Genomic DNA, 19,184 nt, shown 5'->3' with positions numbered 1-19,184 from the left:
TATAAATACATAGTTATAAATATATATAAAATAAAATATATATATTTTTTGAGACAGAATCTTGCTGTCGCTCAGGCTAGAGTGCAGTGGTGCTATCATAGCTCACTGCAGCCTCACCTCCTGGGCTCAAGAGATCCTCCCACCTCAGCCTCCTGAGTAGCTGGGACAAAAGACATGCACCACCATGCCCAACTGATTTTTAAATTTTCTGTCGAGATGGGGTCTCCCTACATTGCCCAGGCTGGTCTTGAACTCCTGGGCTCACACAATCCTCCCACCTCGGGCCTCCCCAAGTGCTAGGATTACAAGCGTGAACCACCATGCCTGCCCTCTTGTTTTTCACAATGAATAATAAAAGAACTCGAGGCCACTCTTCAGTAAGACTCCAAAGGGAGAGAGGAAGAAAGGGAGATGTCTTCAAATGCCAGATAATTAACAAAGAAATGATAGAAATAGAGAAGTCACCATTTGCAATCAGAGGTGTAACTGATTCAAGCAAGAACCATCAACAGATCCTAAAACTACTGGGTGAAAGGTTGTTGGGCAATAGGATATTCTCAAAGAATCACCTTACAGATAAATACTACTTTCAAAGGTGAAAGATACCTTTACAGGGATGATTCTAGCACATGTCACCTTTACCAAGTGATCTATATCAATAATGGAACAAATTGATGGTGCACCTCCTGATGAGATGTGCTGAGGAGGAGACGTGCACTTATACAGCATTCCTATCACAAGTATACTAAACTCAATCTATGCATGTAAAAAACAATCAGGCTGGGCGCAGTGGCTCATGCCTGTAATCCCAGCACTTTGGGAGGCTGAGGCGGATGGATTACTTGAGGTTGGAAGTTCGTGACCAGCCTGACCAACATGAAGAAACGCTGTCTCTACTAAAAATACAAAATTAGCCAGGCGTGGTGGCACATGCCTATAATCCCAGCTCCTAGGGAGGCTGAGGCAAGAGAATTGCTTGAACCTGGGAGGCAGAGGTTGCGGTGAGCCGAGATCATGCCATTGCACTCCAGCCTGGGCAACAAGAGTGAAACTCCGTCTCAAAAAAAATAAATAAAAAAATCAGATAAATCCAAATGGTGAGACATACTGTAAGGCAACAGACTGGACGCAGTGGTTCACCCCTGCAATCCTAGTACTTTGGGAGGCCGAGATGGGCAGATTGCCTGAGCTCAGGAGTTTGAGCCCAGCCTGGGCAACATGGTGAAACTCTGTCTCTAGTAAAAATACAAAAAAAAAAAAAGAAAAAAAAAATTAGCCGGGCGTGGTGGCTCACGCCTGTAATCCCAGCACTTTGGGAGGCCAAGGCGGGCGGATCACGAGGTCAGGAGATCGAGACCATACTGGCTAACACGGTGAAACCCCATCTCTACTACAAATACAAAAAATTAGCCAGGCGTGGTGGCGGGCGCCTGTAGTCCCAGCTACTCGGGAGGCTGAGGCAGGAGAATGGCGTGAACCTAGGAGATAGAGCTTGCAGTGAGCGGAGATTGCGCCACTGCACTCCAGCCTGGGCAACAGAGCTAGACTCCGTCTCAAAAAAAAAAAAAAATTCGCCAGACATGGTGGTGCATGCCTGTAGTCCCAGCTAGCTACTCCGGAGGCTGTGGCACGAGACTCACTTGAACCTGGGAGGCGGAGGTTGCAGTGAGCTGAGATCATGCCACTGCACTCCGGCCTGGGTGACAGAGTGAGACTCCATCTTAAAAAAAAAAAAAAAAAAAAAAAAAAAGGCGGGGGCCGGGCACGGTGGCTCACACCTGTAATCCCAGCACTTTGGGAGGCTGAGGTGGGTGGATCACCTGAGGTCAGGAGTTTGAGACCAGCCTGACCAACATGGTGAAACCCCATCTCTACTAATAATAATAAATTAGCCGGCCATGGTGGCACATGCCTGTAATCTCAGCTACTCGGGAGGCTGAGGCAGGAGAATCACTTGAACCCAGGAGGCGGAGGTTGCAGTGAGCCACGATTGCGCCATTGCATTCCAGCCTGGGCAACAAGAGCAAAACTCCATCTCAAAAAAAAAAAAAAAAAAAAAAAAAAAAGACAACTGCTCCAGACAATTTAAAAATCTCATTATCACAAAAGACCACCCTCACACCCAAAGGTGATAGAACTGCTCTATAGTAAAGGTGCTACAGAGACATTAACTAAGCTTTTCTGTATATATATCTAGATATATACAGATATTTATACATATATATCTAGATATATATCTTCTGTATATATATCTAGATATATACAGATATTTATACTATATATATATCTAGATATATATCTACATACATTCAAAGTCTCATGTAAGGCCAGGTACGCCTATAATCCCAGCACTTTGAGAGGCTGAGGAGGGCAGATCACTTGAGGTCAGGAGCTCAAGACCAGTGTGACCAAAATGGTGAAACCCCATCTCTACTAAAAATACAAAAATGAGCCGACATCACACCACTGCACTCCAGCCTGGGCAATAAAGCTAGACTCAATCTCATGTAGATATATATCTATATGTATCTATGTCTACATATCTATATGTATCCATATATGTAGATATATATTTACATGTATGTAGATATATAGGTATATATCTACATACATCTACATGTATGTAGATGTATGTAGATATCTATATGTATCTATATATGTAGATATATATTTATATGTATGTAGATATAGGTATATATCTACATACATCTACATATATATAGATATATGTATCTACATATATATCTACATACATTGAAAGTCTCACCAGTGTTATAACTTTTGCTTTAAACCACTATACATATTTTAAAGAGCTTAAGAAACAACTGTTTGTGTTTTTACATTTTCCCAGATACCATTTCTGTTGCTCTTTATCTCTGAAGTTCTAGTATTTCCTTTGGCCTAAAGACCTTCTTTTATATTTATTTTACAGCAGAACTTTTGGCAACACATTCTCTTAGATTTTCTTCATCTGAAATGTCTTTTTTTTTTTTTTTTTTTTTTGGCCTTAATTGTTGAAGGGTATTTTTGCTGGATACAGAATTCTGGATTGACATTTCTCTCAGTACTTTAAAGATGTTCTGCAGTTACATGAATTACTGAAAGGCTTAAAGTTGGGGACAGTCTCTATCACATATATGTTTTATAGAGACATGTTTTATATTTTCATTGTGGACCACAGCCTTTGTCATCAAAAAATCTTTGTCTCGTTTGTGAGTTTCTAAATTTTGCTTTGAACCTAAACTTTTATAACTCCTTTCTTTTTATTTCCTACAATGTGGAGTTTATCTGGGACAGCACAGAAAGTTGGAAATACATAACTGGAGTTTAGAGGAGAGGTCTAAGAAGAAAAGTGGATCTAGAAGTCATTGATATTATGGTGGTAACTCAGACAACTGATAATTAGGGGAAAGTTGGGGAAACTAAATGCTGAGGACTATCACATGTAAGAGGGATGTCTGAAGGAGGAGTAACTGGTCAAGGAAATTGAGTCATGAGTTGCAACAGGAAATTTAAGAAGGATGTAGTGGCCAAAGGTATCATGCATGCATTGTATATGTATGTAGATATATATCTGTCAATGTATGTAGATATATGTCTATGTATATATACAATGTATGCATATAGATATACACTGAAAGCATATGTAGATACATATCTATATGTATCTACATATATTGAAAGTGTATAAAGATATATACACATATGTACAATTATAACATAAGGGAGGGGCGCTAGAATAAAGAAACCTGTATGGTTGCAATACTTTTACGTTTTATTTTACATTTTATTTAGAGGTAAAATGCTAACTCTAAGTAGATAGTTTAGGTATATATTTTGTAATTCCTACAGCAAAAACATAGCACAGATATAACCAAAAGCCAATTAATAAAACACTAAAAAATATTCAATTAATCCAAAAGTAGGCAGAAAAAAGAAACAGAAGAAACCCCTCAAAAAAGAGATAATCAGAAAACAAATAATAAAATAGGAAACCTAAATCCAATCATTATCAATCATATTAAATGTAAATGGTCCAAAACACATTAATTAAAAGAGGCTGTCAGATTAAATTTAAAAGAAAAACAAACAAGAAACCATTTCAAATTATAATGATATGGCCAGGTATGGTGGCTCACACCTGTAATCTCAGCATTTTGGGAGGGTGAGGTGGGTGGACTGCTTGAGCCCAGGAATTCAAGACCAGCCTAGGCAACATGGCAAAACCCCATCTTTATTTTCACAAATTAAACAATAGACGAATATCATGATATATAAATTAAAAGCAAAAGGGTAGAAAAAGATATGTCATTCTATCACTAGTCAAAAAAAGTATTATATTACTGCTAATATAAAATACTAATTTTATATTAGTATTAAATAGTGGTATTTATTTTTTATTTATTTATTTGAGACAGATTTTCGCTCTTGTTGCCTAGGCTGGAGTGCAATGGCGCAATCTCGACTCACTGCAACCTCCGCCTCCTGGGTTCAAGCCATTCTCCTGCCTCAGCCTCCCGAGTAGCTGGGATTACAGGCATGTGCCACCACGACCGGCTAATTTTTTGTATTTTTAGTAGAGACGGGGTTTCGCCATGTTGGTCAGGCTAGTCTCAAACTCCCAACCTCAGGTGATCCGCCTGCCTTGGCCTCCCGAAGTGCTGGGATTACAGGCATGAGCCACCATGCCTGGCCTTACTATCTGACCTTTTACCAAAAAAATCTGGCAAGCTCTGGATTAGGGAGAGTTGTTAGACGAACCCCAGATGTGTAAAAGAAAAAAAGTGGTAAATTAGACTTTATCAAAATTTAAAACTTATGCTCTGGGAAAAAGACACTGTTAAGAGAATGAAACGCAAGGCACTGACAGGGAGAAAATATATGTACATCACACAGCCTAACAAAGCACTTATATCCAAAATATATAAAGAACTCTTACTACTCAATAATAAGAAATTGGCTGGGCATGGTGGCTCATGCCTGTAATTCCAGCACTTTGGGAGGCCGAGACAGGCGGATTGCTTGAGCTCAGGAGTTCAAGACCAGCCTGGGCAACATAGTGAAACCCCATCTCTACTAAAAATACAAAAATTAGCCAGGCATAGTGGCATGTGCCTGTGGTCCCAACTACTTCAGAGGCTGAAGTGGGAGGATCACCTTGAGCCTTGGGTAGGCGGGGAATGACGGGCTCCAGTGAGCCAAGATCATGCCACTGCACTCCAGCATGGGTGAAAGAAGGAAACTGTCTAAAAAAATAGAAAGGAGGAGGAGGAAGAGGAGAAGGAGAGGAGGAAAAGGGGGAAGGGGGGAGGAGGGGAAGGAGGAGGCGGAGGAGCAGCAGCAGCAGCAACAACAACAACAAGAGGAGCAGCAGCAACCCAATTAAACATCTTAAATAAAGATTTTGGTATCTTGGCCAGGCATGGCAGCTCATGCCTGTAATCTCAGCACCTTGAGAGGCCGAGGCAGGTGGATTGCTTGAGCCCAGGAGTTTGAAATCAGTCTGGGCAACATAATGAAACCCTATCTCTACAAATAAAAATAAAAAATTAGCCAACTGTGGAGGTGCGCACTTGAAATCCCAGCTACTGGGGAAGCTGAGAGGTGGGAGGATGGCTTGAGGCTAGGAAGTGGAAGCTGCAGTGAGTGGTGACTGTGCCATTGCTCTCCAGCCTGGGCAACAAGCAAGACCCTATCTCAAAAAAAAAAAAAAAAATCAGTATTTTTCCATAAAAAATGGTATACAGATGGCAAATAAAAAGATGCACATAAAAGGAGGCTCAGAACCATTTGTCATTAGGGACAAGCAAATTAAAACCAGAAGGGGATATCACTATATACTTATTAAGGTGTCTTTTAAAAAAAAAACTGACAATATCAAGTACTAGGGAGGATACAGGGCAACCGGAACTCTTCATACACTTGCAGGTAAGAATGCAAAATGGTACAGCTACTTTGGAAAACAGTTTTGGCAGTTTCTCATAAACATACAACCCAGAAATCATACTCCTAGGTATTTACTCAAGAAAAACAAGTATTGTGTTCATACAAAACCATTATGGAAACGTTTAGGACAACTTTATTCATAGTTGCCAAAAACCAGAGATAACTGAAATATCCAACTATTGAATGGATAAATGCACTGTGATACACTCATATAAGGGACTGCTACTCAGCAATAAAGAAACTACTGATACACACAACAACATAGATGAATCTCAAATACATTATGCACTGTACATGTATAAACTATTTAAAAATTAAAATACCTTTTTAAAAGTCAAACAGTACATGAAAAAGTAGGATCAAGAGAGGTTTGCTGCAGGAATGTAAGGGTGGATCAATATTATAAGATCTAATATAATTCTATGAATATACACCACAGTAATTAATATGTAGCTTGCAGGAGAAAAACTATATGATCATCTTAAAAGATGCTAAGATGACATGTGACAAAATACAATAGCCATAGCTGATTTTTTTTTAAAAAAAAACTTAGGAAAAAAAAGAGAACCAGGTGAATACATTCAACACATTGAAGGTCTCAAACCCACAGTTAACCATGAAATATTCGCATCAGTTCCATTAAATTCGGAAAGCATACTAAGATGCCTATCGTTATAACTAACATTTAACATTGCTTTGGAGGTGGTACACAATGCAATTTGTTTCTTTTTTTTCTTTTTTTTTTATTACCCAGGTTCCCATCAATGGTAGAGGGCAATGTAATTTGAAGAGAAAAAGGAGATACAAATGTAAGAAAATCAGATGTGTACATATGATTCATTTTTGCAGATGACACAACTTTATTCCTAGAGTAAAATTATTCCAATCAAAGCAAAAGCTACAAGAAACAATTAGAAAAAAGAATAGGTGGCTAAATACTAAATTAATTTTTAAAATTCATTAGTTTTCAACTAGAAGCCCCAGCAGAGCAGGTATTTTTATACACAAAGATAAAATCTGATTTCATGGCATAAGTGAAAATATTTAGCAAATGAATTATACTTCTTCCAATTTTGTAAAAAGTATGTATGCACACATGTGCTGGGTGTGGTGGCTCACGCCTGTAATCCCAACAGTTTGGGAAGCCAAGGAGGAAGGACTGACTGAGCTCAGGAGTTCAACACCAGCCTGGGCTGGTGAAACCTCGTCTCTACTAAAAAAATATAAAAAACTAGCCAGGCATGGCAGCGAGCACCTGTAGTCCCAGCTACTCTGGAGGCTGAGGCAAGAGAATCACCTGAACCTAAGAGGTGGAGGTTGCAGTGAGCCAAGATTGTGCCACTGCACTCCAGCTTGGGTGACAGAGCGATACTCCAGCTCAAAAAAAAAAGTATGTACATACACATGTTTACACAAAGATGGTTAACTAATGAGAGGAACCAAAATATTAATGTTCTGGGTTTTCTAAATGTTCTACATTACTTTCCTGATAAAGAGAAGAAGCAAAAATAAAATTTAAAGGTTTTACTAGATTTTCAGAAGCATTATTTGTAAAACTCAAAGCCTTTTTCCTAAACGAATTATCGAAATCACAGACTAATGAATGTCAAGAGCTCAAAAATGGGGTGAATAAACTATGGCCAGCCACAGCCTGTTTTTGTAAATAAAGTTTTATTAGAAAGCAGCCATGCTCATTTGTTTACTTATTGTCTATGGCTGCTTTCCTGCTATGAGGGCAGAGCTGAGCAGCTGTGACAGAGCCAGATGGCCTGCAAAACCTGAAATATCTACTAATTGGTAACCTAAGAACAAGTTTGCCAGTCCCCTGACCATTAGATCATCTAGTCCATCCTATACTGTACAGGTGAGTAAACTGAGGTCCACACAAGAATGACTTCTCTATGGTCCAAACTCAAGTTAAGTAAGAAGCAATGAAGAACTCCATTTCCATGGTACTTTCCACCACTTGGCCAGGAAACTCTCAAAACAGACATCCTGCCATTTGGGAGGTAAAACTCAGGGTCTCATATCACATCGCAAGTGAGTGTATTTGCCAATAAATTGATGAGAAGAGGACTCTGGGCCTAGTCAGTATCCAAGAACACCTGCTAAAGGTCTGAGTAAACCTTAGTAGATTCTAGAAAAAGTTAATTTAAAACCACATAGGCTGGGCACGGTGGCTCACGCCTGTAATCCCAGCACTTTGAGAGGCCAAGGTGGGCAGATTGCCTGAGGTCAGCAATTCCAGATGAGTCTGGCCAACATGGTGAAACCCCGTCACTACTAAAAATACAAAAAAATTAGCCAGGCGTGGTGGCGTCCGCCTTTAATCACAGCTACTCAGGAGGCTGAGGCAGGGGAACTGCTTGGACCAAGGAGGTGGAGGTTGCAGTGAGCTGAGATCATGCCACTGCACTCCAGCCTGGGCGACAGAGCAAGACTCCATCTCAAAAAAAAAAAACAAAACACATAAGCACAGACTAGGGAAGGTTTAAAAACAGATGTTGAGAGTATAATCTGGTCCAGACTTTTAAATGGTACACACTATAATGCAACAATCCAATCCCAGTCCTAGGAATCTACCCTACAGAAACACCAGCTTAAGTGACTAAAGGTACATCTCTAGCACATTCAGGACAGCACTGTCTGTAAACGCAAAAAGAGCCTGAATTCTCAATAGGACTAGTTTTTTTAAGGCAAATCAATATTATCAGCAAATGCAGTTATGTATTAATAAAAAGGGGGGCACTTCATGTCTTTACCTTAAAGAGGGTCCTAACCTGAGCATGTAAATTTGTGACCCTTGCCATAAACAATCTCCACTGTTAGGTTTCTTCTGAGACACAGAGAAGATTCACAACTCATGCTATTAAAGCAATTAAGGAAAACCAATATACCTGGAAGAAGGTAATCTTCCAAGTTTACAGAGGATCAGAAATCCAATGCATTTCACCTGGATAATTCAGACTCAAAAGTTCAAATATGTATGTGAAATTACAGTAAAACCACCTTAAAACATTTTACTCTTTGCACAGCACTTTGAAAGCACAGTACAGTCATAAGGTGGAGAAATGAGTAACTTACTGAATAAGACTTTAAGAAGTGTGTGAAATAATTTTGCTGTCTACAAAAACAGAAAACTGCACTTTCTTTCTGCCTACTTGTTCTCTTGATTACTGTGAGAAGAGTGTTGAAGTCTACGATATTGTTAAGGATTTGTCTGTTTCTCCTTGGAGTTTTATCAGTCCTCATGTATTTTGAGGCTCTATGAATAAGTTCATAAACCTTTAGAAAGGATTGTTTTAGGATGAGCTAAGATGTCATTCACTATTTTAAATGTTGGACCATCTCTTGAGACAAGTATCTATGCAAGAATTAGAACAGGACAAGAGAAATTCCACACAGATTAATACATGCATTTCTGAAATACTTCTTAACTTCCATAAATAGAATATACTATATACTATACACAGACCTCAAAAGAGGCACTATGAACATACTGAAATCGAGCAAGAAGCCATATTTCTAGTAAAATATATAAACTGCACCTACTGAACATTGCCATTTGGTATGAATCACATGGCCATGCCGTTTCCCAAGCGTGTGAATTACAGAACATATCCATGAGTAGAAAGAAGTCTAAGTATAACTTTCTTAGCAAATCTCAGGGGGTTCCATAGATAAATAATTTGGCCAGTGACTCCTAAGACGTTTTATACAGGAGAACCCAGACACACTAGGACATACTAACATCTCGCAATTCAGTTTGCATATCAGCTTTTACACTTTTATAACACTGAAATTCTCTGAATTATCAAATTTAATTTCTCAACCAAAAGTCTCTGAATCCTAATCCTTCCTTCTCTTCTGGCCTATATATATAACTTTTAGCTTAATTTTACCAGGACTGGGCCAGGCATGGTGGCTCACGCCTGTAATCCCAGCACTTTGGGAGGCTGAGGTGGGCGGATCACAAGGTCAGGAAATCAAGACCATCCTGGCTACCATGGTGAAACCCCATCTCTACTAAAATTACAAAAAATTAGCCGGGCATGGTGGCAGGTGCCTGTAGTCCCAGCTACTTGGGAGGCTGAGGCAAGAGAATGGCGTGAACCCGGGAGGCAGAGCTCACAGTGAGCCGAAATCGCGCCACCGCACTCCAGCCTGGGCGACAGAGCGAGACTCCGTCTCAAAAAAAAAAAAAAAAAAAATTACCAGGACTGTGGCAGATTTTCTAATCACATGTTAACTTCCTCTTCACCCTACCACCAAGGACAACAAATAATGGAAAGTCATCTCACACATGACCCCAAATCTTATTGCAGAAATGCAATACCATCACATACACAAATAATGCTGGGCCCAGAGTCTCCACAAAGGAGGACTTCACTCAGCCAGAGTGCTGGGGCTACCCAAGCTGTGCAGGATTTAGGGCAAATAAAAGGCTAGAGAAAAAGAGATGTTAGGTAAATTCCCCCTGGTCTAACAGAGGCAGACTGACTACAATGAGTCCAGGAGAACTTTCTGCAATGATATGAAATGCCCCAAATGCTCTACATTTGTGTGGTGCAATACATGTGGCTATAGAGCACTTGAAATGAACATATAACAGCTAGTGCCACAGGAGAAACTAACTTTTCATTTTACTTAAATTTTTTTTTTAAGAGATGGGTTCTCACTCTGTCACCCAGGCTGGAGTGTGGTGGCATGGTCCATAGCTGACTAGGGCCTCTAACTCCTGGGCTCAAGCAATCCTCCCACCTCAGCCTCCCAATTAGGTAGGACTACAGGCATGCCAACCTCTGCCAAACTATTTTAATTCTTTTGTAAAGACAGTGTCTTACTATGTTGCTCAGGCTAGTCTTCAACTGCTGCCTTAAGTGATCTTCCCACCTCAGCCTCCCAAAGTATTGGGACTACAGGTATGAGCCACCACGCTTGGCCTGCCTAGTTTTAATTAATTTAACTCTCCACATGTGGCTAGTGGCTACCATACTGGACAGTATAGAGCGTGAAAAGAATCCACAGGCTTTCTTTGACTCATCATTCAGTTCCACAATTACTTGTGCTGCCTACTGCATTCAAGAGATTGAACCAGGCACTACAGAGACTGAATGAGACTGTCCCTGCCCAAAGTAGGTTGTAATTAAAGAAGGGCCAGATATTAAAAGCCCATTTCAGCTCCATGTCTTAACAGATAAAGATAGAGATAAAGGGGTTAAATAATTAAGAGGATAAAATAATCCTTCCTAAAGGTTTATGGACTTTAGGAAGGAGCCTCAAAATACATGAATATAAAGCCTCAAAATACATGAAGATTGCTAGAACTTCAAGGAGAAACAGACAAATCCTTCACAATAGCTGCAGACTTCAAGACTTCTCTCAGTAATCAACAGAACAAGCAGAAAGTCAGACAGATCTTAGTAACATTATCAACAAACTTGACCTAATTGACATTTATGCAATACTCCACTCAACAAGAGCAGAATACAAAATTCTTTTCAAGTACATATGGAACATTCACTTAGACTGACAAAATTTTGGGGTGCAAAACAAACCTCTAAAAATGTTTTATAAAATTAAAGTCATACAAAGTATACTCTCTGAACAAAATGAAATTAAATTAGAAATCAGTAACAGAAGGATAGCTAAAAAATTCCCAAATATTTGGAAACTAAAACACTTAATGCACATGGTCCTGGAGGTTATACGGGTGGGAAACACAGGAACTTAGCCCCACCTGGCGGTAAAGGGAATGGTGATCAGAGAAGGCAGGCTGGAGAAGGTGATGGATGGATGACTAGGAGTTAGGTGTGTGAGAACTACAAAGAAATCAGTATTACTAGATCCATTCGAGATGAAGAGAAGAAATAAGGAGTGAATAAGGAAAAGAGAAATAAGGGAGATTCAGAAGTCAGTTCATCCTTGAATCCTTTTCTCCCACTCACCACATCCCAGCCTAACCAATCTATCACTAAGGATTCATTCTAACTCCTGAATTACTTTCTTCCAGGCACGGTGGCTCACACCTGTAATCCCAGCACTTTGGGAGGCCAAGGCGGGTGGATCACTTGAGGTCAGAAGTTCAAGACAAGCAAGGCCAACATGGTGAAACCCTCTTCTAGTAAAAATACAAAAATTAGCCAGGCATGGTGGCACACACCTGTAGTCCCAGCTACTCAGGAGGCTGAGACAGGAGAATCACTTGAACCCAGAAGGCAGAGGTTGCAGTGAGCCAAGATCATGCCACTGCACTCCAGCCTGGGCGACAAGAGACTCTGTCTCAAAAAAAAAAAAAAGAAAGAAATTAAAACTGAATTTGCAATAATACAGCAAATAATCCTAGTTATATACCCAAGAGAAATGAAAACATACGTACAGATAAAAACATGTACACGAATGTGCTCAGCAGCATTATTCCTAATGGCCAAAAAGTGGAAACAGTTCAGATGTCCATGAACTTAAGAAATGGATAAGCAAAACATGGTCTCTGGACACAGAGATGTGTGCCTGTAATCCTAGCTACTCTGGAGGCTGGAAGGCTGAGGCAGGAAGATTGCCTGAGTCCAGGAGTTTGAGGTCAGCCTGGGCAACACTGCAAGACCCTGTCTCCATAAAAAAAAAAAAAAGGCTGTATAGCCATACAATGAAGTGTTATTCAAATATAGTACTGATACATGTTAAGATATGCATAACGCTTGAAAACATTAGGCTAAATGATGGAAGACATATATTATATGATTCCACTTTATAAGAAATGTCCATAAGAGGCAAATCAGGCGGGGCGCAGTGGCTCACGCCTGTAATCCCAGCACTTTGGGAGGCTGAGGCGAGTGGATTACAAGATCAGGAGTTCGAGACCGGCCTGGCCAACATAGTAAAACCCTGTCTCTACTAAAAAAAAAAAAAAATACAAAAAATTAGCCAGGCACAGTGGCAGGTGCCTGTAATCCCAGCTACTTGGGAGGCTGAGGCAGGAGAATCGCTTAAACCCGGGAGGTGGAGGTTGCAGTGAGCTGAGATCCCGCCACTCCACTCCAGCCCAGGTGACAGAGCGAGACTCTGCCTCAAAAAAAAAAAAAAAAAAAAAAGAGGCGAATCAACAGGGAATCAAAGTAGATTAGTGGCTGCCAGGGATGAGCAGGAGGGAGGTGAAGAACAGGGAGTGATGCTGACGGTGCGGGCTTCTTTTGCGGGGGTATAAAAACGTGCTGGAATTAGGTAGTGTTAATGGTTGCACAACTCTGTCAATATACTAAAAAAACCACTAAATTATATACTTTACAAGGGTACATTTTACAGTATATAAATTATATCTCCATACAGCTGTTACCTTTTAAAAACTGAATTTTCATAAATATTGCTTGAAAATCATTCAGCAATTCAGAAGATGTCCAATAAATTTAGCTATTACTGTCACTATTTTTAAAATGTGACAATCACAAAATAATAGTTGAATATAACTTACTATCTAGAAAAACATAAAAATTTTAGATATATACCAGCAGACAAAACAATTAAAACATTATAATTATATTTACGTGCATTTTAATTATTTCTATACGGTCACCTTCGATCTTTTAAAGTGCATTTTAATGTATAAGTGGTTTTTTTTTTTTAAATTAAGAAACATGCTGCCTCCTGAGGCTTATCATTTTAAAAAACCAAAAGCATGAAAAAAATTAGAGGCCGGGTACGGCAGCTCACCCCTGTAATCCCAGCACTTTGGGAGGCTGAGGCAGGCGGATCACAAGGTCAGGAGTTTGAGACCAGCCTGGCCAATATGGTGAAACCCTGTCTCTACTAAAAATACAAAAATTAGACGGGCGTGGTGGCAGGCGCCTGTAGTCCCCTACTCGGGAGGCTGAGGCAGGAGAATCGCTTGAACCCAGGAGGTGGAGGTTGCAGTGAACCGAGATTATGCCACTGCACTCCAGCCTGGGTGACAGAGTGAGACTCTGTCTCATAAATAAATAAATAAAATTAGAATAATCAGTGTCAGCATTAAGCTAGTGCTGAGATCATAACCACCGTAAGCAGGCACTCAAAGAGAAGGAAGACCAAGGTGCAAAACAGGACTCAGGGAAGATCTCCCAGGAAGAGGGATTCCAGCCTGGCTAAGGAGCAGGAAGGGAAAAGGGCATCAGCTAGGATTTGCTCCTGTGTCACCCAGAATACTACTTGCCCACCATGACTACCAGTCTCTCACCCCCATGTCTCCACCATTAAGGGTCTTTAGTCAAAGGGAAGACACAGGGTCTTGAGGAAAGAGGAAAGGAGGACCTAACAGAAGAGACCAGAGTTCCTGGTCTTAACATCCCCAGTCCTGTGATACGCATGTTTCAATACAAACTTCCAAACACGCCCGTGGGTGAGCAGAATAGAAAAGCACGAACTGTGTGCAAGACTATTTATTAATGCATACCTAGGACACACCTCTCTACTACTCACAAATCATATTGCCCAACTTTTTCATAACCCTTTTGGCTCTCATTTTGTTTAATTCTCATGTTTAACCTCTTGAGGTGCTGATAACTGAAAACAGATGTCATTAATTTCCCTTATAATCTTGACCTCCCCATTGTTACTGAAAGTGCTACCATTCTTAGGGAGGCATATGTAATGCATTCCTCTCTCTACACATCTATGTGTCAAGGCCTGAAGAACTCTAAAGTGCCTCCTGGACTGATCTTCCATCCAGGGCTACAAAACCCACCAGCTATCTCGTCCTTGTCAATCCATCCTGCAGAAGAGAATCTAAGCTATACTTCGTGGCATCCCTCTGAAATCATACCCCACTCTTTCAAGATCTTCCGATCATCCCAATACCCAAAATTAAACAGATGTGAAAGAGAGAGAGCTTCAGGCCATTTCCCCAGTAATTCTCTCAATTTGGGAGAAACAGCTACACCAGTGGTTCAACAGCATCTCTGTGATTTGATATGGTTCTGTTTCATGTTTGTGCATGGTGCTGCTGGGAATACAACATAACTCCTCTGGGTGTTCAGGAGTGAAAAAGGGCTGAGGATCACAATCCAGCCCAATCCCTATTCTACAGAAAAGGGGGAAAGTACAGTTGCTATAGCCTGATCCTCTAGGTACTGCCCAACACAGCATACAAAGGAGCTTTGGTTTATTTCCTATTCACACACTCAGGCTCTTGCTAAACCGAGTTACTTGAGACTGCCCACACTTTACTATCAGTGCCTGCTGCTCCCTCCCGCTCCCGCTCCCTCTCCCTCCCTCCCTCCCTCAATCTGCCTTTCCTTACTCTCCACATGCCCATCCAGGAAGTGTATGCCCACATCAATCCCCTTAAATGGGGTATATTATCTCGCCCTCCTTAAAATGCCCACTGCACTGCGTACCTCGCATGCAGCAATCAGAAATTATACTGAAAAGATATTGACACTGATAGGAATAATATTGTCAAACCAGTGACAAATTCTGCTTGAATTTGAATCTATGGTTCATTCATGGCATCTCTGCCACTGATCTCCAATGTCACAATCCTTAGAGGACATAAATCACTAACTCTCCCAGGGTAACACCAGGGTTTTTGTTTCATGAAGTTATCAGAGGTTCCAAGTTTTAAAATTCCAGGTAAGTATTCTCAGAAGTCTCACACAAGACTGAGACTGCAACACAAGAACCATTCTGTTTTAAATATAATTTCTTAAAATTAGCAAATGCTTAATTTCAAAGTGCTGTCAGAACCTTACCAAATGCCTATTGAAAACACTTCCTATACAATCCTTCTCAGTATATTGGCAATGTCATAAAACCTATAGGCTGAAGTAAGTCTAAATTTAAAAAGTAAAAATGAATTAAAGCATTATTCAGCGATATGCCTTTAGCTTAAGCAAAACTAGGTGATTTCAATTTTATACTAAAAAGTTGGCATCCTTACATTTTTTCCATAAAAGGAAAACAATCTTCAATGAATAAACCTTTCATGACTTTAGTAATGTCAACTAATGTCTTTGCATTGTTACATTACCTACAAAATACTGAGTTATTTCTTGTATTAGGAGTGAGCTATTTCTTATGTTAGGAATGTCACGTCAGTACTTAAACCAACCCTGTAAACTATAAAAATTAATCAAATTACTCTAAATTACCAATAAGGTAAATTCCTCTTTCAGCCTTCACAGTACAACAGGATTCAAACTCATCAATCATACTTCTTTATGTGTTATTCGGATATCTTAAACCAGTTCTAAAACTTTTTTTCTTCTATCTACACATTTACCTGACAGCCTTCCTCCAGGAAGTACAGACTAAAAAACCAATGAAACTGGTACTTAGCCTAATCAACTCACTGTCATGCATTGTTACTCATTCCAGGCAAGTGGGCATGTTCTAAAAGTTTAGAACTCAAAATGTCACATCCGGGGGGTGGGGGGCAAGGGGAGGGAACTTAGAGGGCCGGTCGGTAAGTGCAGCAAGCCACCATGGCACACGTATACCTATGCAACAAACCTGCACGTTCTGCACATGTATCCCGTTTTTTTTTAGAAGAGATAAGGAAAAAAAAAAGTCACATCTATTTTACCATAATCTTTAAAAATAATGTGTTGCAAAAGGTAAAGCATCCAAATTAACATCACAGCCAATAAAGGAAAATGCCTGGCAAGCAATATGAAATAGCAACTCAAAAACAAAGTAACTCTTGCAATGAAAAACGTTCACAGAAAAAAAAAAAAACATTCACTGATCAAATTGTCCATCAAAAACCAATTAGAAAAAACAACAACAACAAAAAACAAAAACAAAAAACAATTAGACCAATTTTTAGTTTCCTAAATCCAAAGTATTTAGAGATTATGACACCCACTGTAGAGTTATCAAAACTTCATCTATTACAAGTTCTTATCTACTAACAATAATTTATCCAACCAATCTTTGATGAGCACCTGCTATGTGCAAAACTCTGTTACAGGAGCTGCAGGGGGAATAAGCTCAATACTTATCTCTAAGGAGTTAATAATTTCATATAAGGATAAGACAAGTAGACACAAGTGTCATTAAGAAAAACAAAATGTCAGACCAGGCACGGTAGCTCATGCCTGTAATCCCAGCACTTTGGGAGGCTGAGGCAGGTGGATCAACTGAGGTCGGGAGTTCAAGACCAGCCTGACCAACACGGAGAAACCCCGTCATTACTAAAAATACAAAATTAGCTGGGCGTGGTGCTGCATGCCTTTAATCCCAGCTACTTGGGAGGCTGAGGCAGGAGAATTGCTTGAACCCAGGAGGTGGAGGTTGCAGTGAGCCAAGATTGTGCCATTGCACTCCAGCCTGGGCAGCAAGAGCAAAACTCCTTCTCAAAAAAAGAAAAACAAAATGTCACAAAAGTATCAAAAGTAAACACATTTTTCTTAAAGGACACCTAGCTACAAATTGTAATTTAAGTCAGCATATGCACACCCATCAATCTTAAATATTATTTGCTATGCCTTCGAATAGGACTTAAAGTTAGCTGAACTGTCCTGCCAAAATGTCTCAGCTCTTTTTAACCAGAAAAAACTTCCTCCAGGGGTGTATGCAATTCAGTCTCCGTGTTTCAATTACCGGCTCTGGGTGCAAAGAAGACCAACATGTGATTTCTTAAGGTAAAAATTATTACTATAAAAAACGTACTAGGCTGGGCGCGGTGGCTCACACCTGTAGTCCCAGCATTTTGGGAGGCCGAGGTAGGCGGATCACGAGGTCAAGAGTTCGAGACCAGCCTGGCCAACATGGTGAAACCCCATCTCTACTAAAAATACAAAAATTAGCCGGGTGTGCTGGTGGGCACCTGTAATCCCAGCTGCTCAGGAGGCTGAGGCAGGAGAATCGCTTGAGTCTGGAAGACGGAGGTTGCAGTGAGCCGAGATCAGGACACTGCACTCCAGCCCAGACGACAGAGCAAGACTCCCTCTCAAAAAAAAAAAAAAAAAAAGTACTAAAATTAAGTTGGCAAGGATTTACATGTAGTCCTTTCTACATATAAGACATAAATACCTGACACTTGATTCATTCCCTTCATTCACCAGACAGCCTGCCCCGGACAAGACTGGCAACGATTCTGACCACTGGGCAAAAGAAATTACCTTTTTTCAGTTATGTTAGGACAACCTATGTGGGTTCACATTTGGCTTAATACTACCCTACTTCTCCAATAAGTATTTAAGCATTTATTAAAATCAAACTTTTCAAGTTAACCACTTCTACTACCCTAGTCTCTCTGAGAAAGACATGACACACCTTACTTCAACGAAAAAAAAGGTCTTTTTTCCTCACAAATATTTTCTCATAAACTTTATTTTTTAAAGGCTTTTAAAACCAGATTCTAATTTAATTAATCTAGATTTGCAAAATTATAAAGGAAAAGTCTTGCCGGTTGTTGCTTTGGTTATGTTAATTTCACAATTTAGTAAATTGTGACTATGTACAAAGCAGCCTTTTGCGGGGGGCCGGGGGTGTTTCACCAAATGCATCTCGGCACCAGCCTAGAGAAACTTTCTGTGAGAAAACAGAAGAGGGGTTACCATGGAGAAATTCATTACGGATTTCGGGAGGGCTTTTTCCTCAGAAATAGAGTGAAAAGAAAAAGTCGTTGTGTAATAAATCTGATACTGATGCCGTGTGACTTAGAAGTTGTTCCAGAAGTTCATCTTCGGCAATTATGTCTAGATGATCAACTACATATCTTCTGCAACAGGTGACACGAAACTGCATTTCCCAAGCAAGGCAAAGCGATCAAATGAGTTAAGACGCGCGTTCCTGTAGTTTTGTACTTTTATTTTTGATTTAACCAAAATAATTCTGAATCGGATGAATAACCAAATTTGGTTGGGTCTTGTTTGGCTTTCTGCGTTGCTTTTTAATCAGCCATTTAACAGCAACTGTTGCACGGGCCCATTAGCACTCGAAGAATAAAAACAAACACACAGGACCAGATAAGGTTCCCCTACTAACCCAAATGATCCGTTTCCTTAACACAATTTTAAAACCACAGCTAGGGGTGTGAAAACGCATTTTTTTGTGCGTGTTTGTGTACCACAATCTGTCCAAATCCTTAATTCCCTTTTAAGTAACAGATATATAATAAAAATCCGAAAGAAACCACATTAGAAATGCAAAGAGGTTTGCAAAACAAGAGGCTTCTTTCATTCCAGAAAACCACACCAAAACAAGGGGAGAAAAATGAATGCAATGGATATGTGTTTGCCAAAGTTTCAATCCTGCCCGGT

General features: G+C 40.1%; 1 protein-coding gene across 47 annotated transcripts in view, besides 2 other annotated features; it reads right to left on the bottom strand.

The window, feature by feature from the left end:
* BPTF (bromodomain PHD finger transcription factor) overlaps window positions 1-19,184 on the bottom strand; it is a 158,876-nt gene that overhangs the window by 138,558 nt on the left and 1,134 nt on the right. The window lies entirely within an intron of this gene.
* Window positions 10,488-10,547: an enhancer, noted in NCBI's record as "active region_12633". NCBI's record gives its function as "activates an Ori minimal core promoter by ATAC-STARR-seq in GM12878 lymphoblastoid cells {active_cell/tissue: GM12878}" and the evidence as "EXISTENCE:reporter gene assay evidence [ECO:0000049][PMID:35858748]".
* Window positions 14,335-14,836: an enhancer, noted in NCBI's record as "NANOG hESC enhancer chr17:65827101-65827602 (GRCh37/hg19 assembly coordinates)". NCBI's record gives its function as "activates a minimal SCP1, AML or CMV promoter by ChIP-STARR-seq in primed H9 embryonic stem cells {active_cell/tissue: H9 hESC(primed)}" and the evidence as "EXISTENCE:reporter gene assay evidence [ECO:0000049][PMID:30033119]".

The sequence above is a fragment of the Homo sapiens genome, chromosome 17 (genome assembly GCF_000001405.40).
Source record: "Homo sapiens chromosome 17, GRCh38.p14 Primary Assembly".
NCBI lineage: Eukaryota > Metazoa > Chordata > Mammalia > Primates > Hominidae > Homo > Homo sapiens.
The sequence above is the reverse complement of the archived record's forward strand: the minus strand, read 5'-3'. Positions and strand labels throughout refer to the sequence as shown.